This window comes from Homo sapiens, chromosome 22 (genome assembly GCF_000001405.40).
Source record: "Homo sapiens chromosome 22, GRCh38.p14 Primary Assembly".
Classification (NCBI taxonomy): Eukaryota; Metazoa; Chordata; class Mammalia; order Primates; family Hominidae; genus Homo; species Homo sapiens.
Window position 1 is genome coordinate 48,833,661 of NC_000022.11, and position 4,468 is coordinate 48,838,128.

Genomic DNA, 4,468 nt, shown 5'->3' on the forward strand with positions numbered 1-4,468 from the left:
TCTTTCACACTCCCGCCAGCAATGCACAAGACTTTTAATTTCTCCACATTCTCAGTAATACTTTTTCTTTCTGTTTATCTTTTTTTAAATATGAGCCATTCAAAAGAATGTGAGATGGAATCTCGCTGTGGTATGTATCACTTTTTGTGTCCTAGCCTTGGAAATCGCGTAGCATCACCTCTGCTGAGGCCACAGCCCTGCCAGGATCCCATCCCAGGGCAGGGAGTGCAGGCTCCATCTGTCAAGGGAATGTCACCATCTCATTGAAGAATCGCACATCGGTGGGGCACTGTGCTCAGCACACACAGTGTGTTCCCTGGCAGAGAACTCATTACAATTTCAACAAACTGATGTATATCTAATTTAGGAGTTCCCTTCACACTCATCTCATTTATATGAACATTTTCTCAGGTTTTTAGATGAAAAAATACAAACTAAAATTAATAACATTTAAGCTGAATGCCATCTCGTTCTAGCAATGACTTGAATGTGAGGAGAAGCCCCATTCATCATATCAGAGGATGCAGTTAAAAAATAACTTCTTATGTTTACAAATTATTTGTCAACATGTACAACACATTCATGTGATTTTAATCTAGTGTTGCTAATAATAATTGTAATAATAACCCAAACTAGAAGAATTGGTTTTAGTATTTAAAGATCAATGGCACCTGGAAATTAACAAAATCAATTTATAGACATATATGTATATTTCTGAATATTGTTATAGGGATTATAATAGGACTATCAATAACAACTTTGAAACATAAAATCTATTAGGGTACAATTTTGTGGAGGACTGGCATAGAAATATGAGTGTAAGGTAATAAAAAGGGCTTTAGTTTCAGTTTCAACCATAAAACAGGAACTTACTCAGTTCTTTAAAACATAGATGACACCTGGTATTGATGGCTGTATATTTAGATTCCATGGCAAATATATCAGAACATCTGCAAAGCTATGTCCGTCCTCCCCAAAGGCCATATCTGCACAGCGGTAAACACTGCCCGGAGAGGAAACTCACACACAGCTCCACGGAGGAGGCATCAACTGCTTCCTCTACCTTTAAGGAGGGCAGTTTCTCAAGCTCTATAAGAAGCCTTTAAATGGGTGTGACGTGACCTAGAAATTTCATTTCTAGGATTTTGTCCTAAAAAATATATAAAGATATATGCAAAGAATTAGCTATAAATATGTCCATCTCTGCCTTATTTGAAATAGTAAAAACTTGCAAGCAAACAACATTTCAAACACTTGACCATCCTTTAAATATATGAAGGGGCTCTCGATAACATAAATCCACTGTAGTCATTGAGGGTCATTTCTGCAATAATGGACACAAGATTGTCAATTAAAAAAAGGGATAATTTCTTCAACGTGGTAATGGTGACAGAAAAGTCACATTTAGAATGGGGAGCGAGGCTAGGTGCAGTGGCTCATGCCTGTAATCCCAGCACTCTGGGAGGCCGTGGCAGGTGCATCACCTGAGGTCAGGAGTTCAAGGCCAACCTGGTCAACATGGTGAAACACTGTCTTTACTAAAAAAATATAAAAATTAGCCAGGCATGGTGGAGGGTGCCTATAGTCCCAGCTACTCAGGAGGCCGAGGCAGGACAATCGCTTGAACCCGGGAGGTGGATGTTGCAGTGAGCCAAGATCGCGCCACTGCACTCCAGCCTGGGCGACAGAGCGAGACTACATCTGAAAGAAAAAATTAAAAATTAAAAATTAGAATGGAGAGAGATGGTGCATTTGCAGGAGAGCCATGTGGTGGAGAATTATGCAGCCACAAAGAGGAATGAAGCCTGACCCAGCTGTGATGTGGTTGAACCTCAAGACACGGTGCGGAGGGGAAGAGGCCAGTACCAAAGGTAGCAAGCTGTGTTGCCCCATTCATACGAAAGATCCAGAACAGATCGATCCACAGGTAGGCACAGATCGGCGGCTGCCTATGCATGGGGTGTTGGCGCTGGATGGAAATGTTTCAGAAACAGAGATAGACGCCAAGGTCATGTGCCGAGAGCTGCTAAACGCTGCACTTTAACATGATTTATTTTAGGTTTGCCTGCAGCACCTGTAATCTGTCTCCTCGTGGATGGTGAGACCCCCGGTGTCGCCCCTGTGAGCTCTGGGAGCTGTGCGGGACCCTGCCCACTAGATGGAGGTTTGCCTGACTGTTAATTGACTTGCTCATGGTCAGCCCCCAGGTCAGGGCCAGGCCAGCACCACCACCCATCCGGCTCCTTCCAGGACTCGCTGGGCGGGCTCTGGCTTAGTTCTCCTACTTGCATTGGTCAAAGCCCCTAGGAGACAGTCGGCCTCTTGCCAGCCCATCCTCTGCCCAGCACAGCGTGTTCTCAAGGTTGGAGCAGGCTGCAGGTGCCACGCCGAGGCATCCCAACGGGGATTCCAGGCTCCTCCAGCCTGCCTGTTGTCCTGATCGCTCCCTGCAGCCGCTGCTGCCTGCCAGCGTGGGGGGACCTGTGGGGCAAGAGTGGGGGGCCCTGCTTATGAAGCCCGATCCCATCCAGCGTCAGCCGCGTTCTCGGTGCCCGTGACGGTCTGAAGCTGACGCCTGATTCTGCTTTCTGTCTTGGAGTGCACAGTGGCATTCACGGTCGTCGCCACAGCCATCAGGTCTGTGGAGCCACGCGCAGGTGCGCGCTCCTGGGAGTGGGCTCCAAACCTCAGGTGGGAGAGCAGAGGCTGCAGGGCAGGTAATGTGCTCCCCTCTGTGACTGGGGCAGAAGCCTGCACACCCACCCTGCCTGCGGGCACTGAGCACTCACCCAGACCCGTGGCCGTGCTCTCCACGTTTGTCATCGAGGCCCAGCTCCCCCTGCCTGTCTAGTCTCAAACCAGAGCCCTAGCCTGGTCCCAGATCGTGGGGTGCTGCCCTGGGGTCCCCCATCAACACAGGGTGATGACACCAGTGCCAAGCACCCCTGAGCAATCTCCCCCGAGCAATCTGCTCTATTGCTCTTTCAATGAATGACTCAGAGCCCTGTTCCAGATGCCCAGGCACCTGCCAGCTTCATTGCTGGAGTGAAAGGAGGGGTGATGGGGCTGCCATAAAAGATGACACTGGGACCATGTTAAGGTCACCTCCCGTTTCTTCTTCAGGTCTCCATGACTGAACTCACAGGGCCGCCCTAGGACCACTGCAGCCGGGAGTGCAGAGTGTGGGGGTGGGAGGTGCCTCTGCTTTGAGGTCTGGGGCGGCAGGTGGGAAGGGCGGGGGAAGGCGCCGTTTTGTCGGAGTCTCCTGCTGGGTTGGGGGTCGGTAATTCCTGGGGTTTTGGGAGGAAATCCTGTTTCTGGAGGAAAATGGCAGCTCCTGTGGGGGAAGCTTGTCTGAGCCTTGGGGCAGCCTGGGACACACGTGTGCGTGCACATATGTACATGCATGTGCACACAGGCACACACTGGCATGCACATGTCCCCACACATGTGGACACACATGCACACTCACAAGTGTCCTCACACGCATCCACATGCACACACGTCATAGCACACATGTACATATATGTCCTCACACACATGCACACACGTGTCCTCTCACACACACACTCACATGTGTCCTTACACGCACCTGCACGCACACACATGTCCTCTCACACATGCACACACGTGTCCTCTCACAAATGCACTCACACGTCCTTACACACACGCACATGCATGCACACACGTGTCCTCACACAAGTACACACGTGTCCTCACACATGCACACACACGTGTCCTCACACATTCACACACGTGTCCTCTCACACACTCACTCACGTGTCCTTACTCACATGTGTCCTCACATACATGCCTACACATACAGAAGTGTCCTCAGACACATGCACACACGTGTCCTCAGACACTCACATGTGTCCTCACACACATGCACACACGTGTCCACACACATGCACACACGTCCTCATGCACACACATGCACACTCCCACGTGTCCTCACACACATGCACACGTGTCCTCCCATGCACACACGTGCGCACACACAGGCTACGAGGTGGGGCTGTCCCCAGGGCTGTGCCTTTTCTTGGCCATCCTGTCCCACCGCGTCCTGGCCACACTCCCAGCAAGGACTTACCTGACTCAGCTGTTTCTGGACTTCCTACCTGTGCCTCCGTCCTGTCTGCCATGACTGTACTCCAGGATCACAGCTGATTAGTCATGGATTACTAATATCTGCTAGAGCTAGCCACTCCCTCCTTCCCCTCATTTCTCCTATTTTTGAATCATTTTTCCATTTGAAGTTAAAATCCCTTGACTAATCCCAGAGAAAGCAACACATTAGTATTTTGATGGCGATTGCATTCAATTTGCAAATTAACTTGGAAGAATAGACATCACTGTCATACTAACTTTTCCTGACCATGTGAATTTCCATTTTTGTTTTTTTCATGAATGTTGTGAAGTTGTCCTCACACAGGTCTCGCCCATTTCTTGTTAAATTTATTCATAG

General features: G+C 49.1%; 1 annotated feature.

Moving 5' to 3' along the window:
* Window positions 3,409-3,936: an enhancer, noted in NCBI's record as "H3K4me1 hESC enhancer chr22:49232881-49233408 (GRCh37/hg19 assembly coordinates)". NCBI's record gives its function as "activates a minimal SCP1, AML or CMV promoter by ChIP-STARR-seq in naive H9 embryonic stem cells {active_cell/tissue: H9 hESC(naive)}" and the evidence as "EXISTENCE:reporter gene assay evidence [ECO:0000049][PMID:30033119]".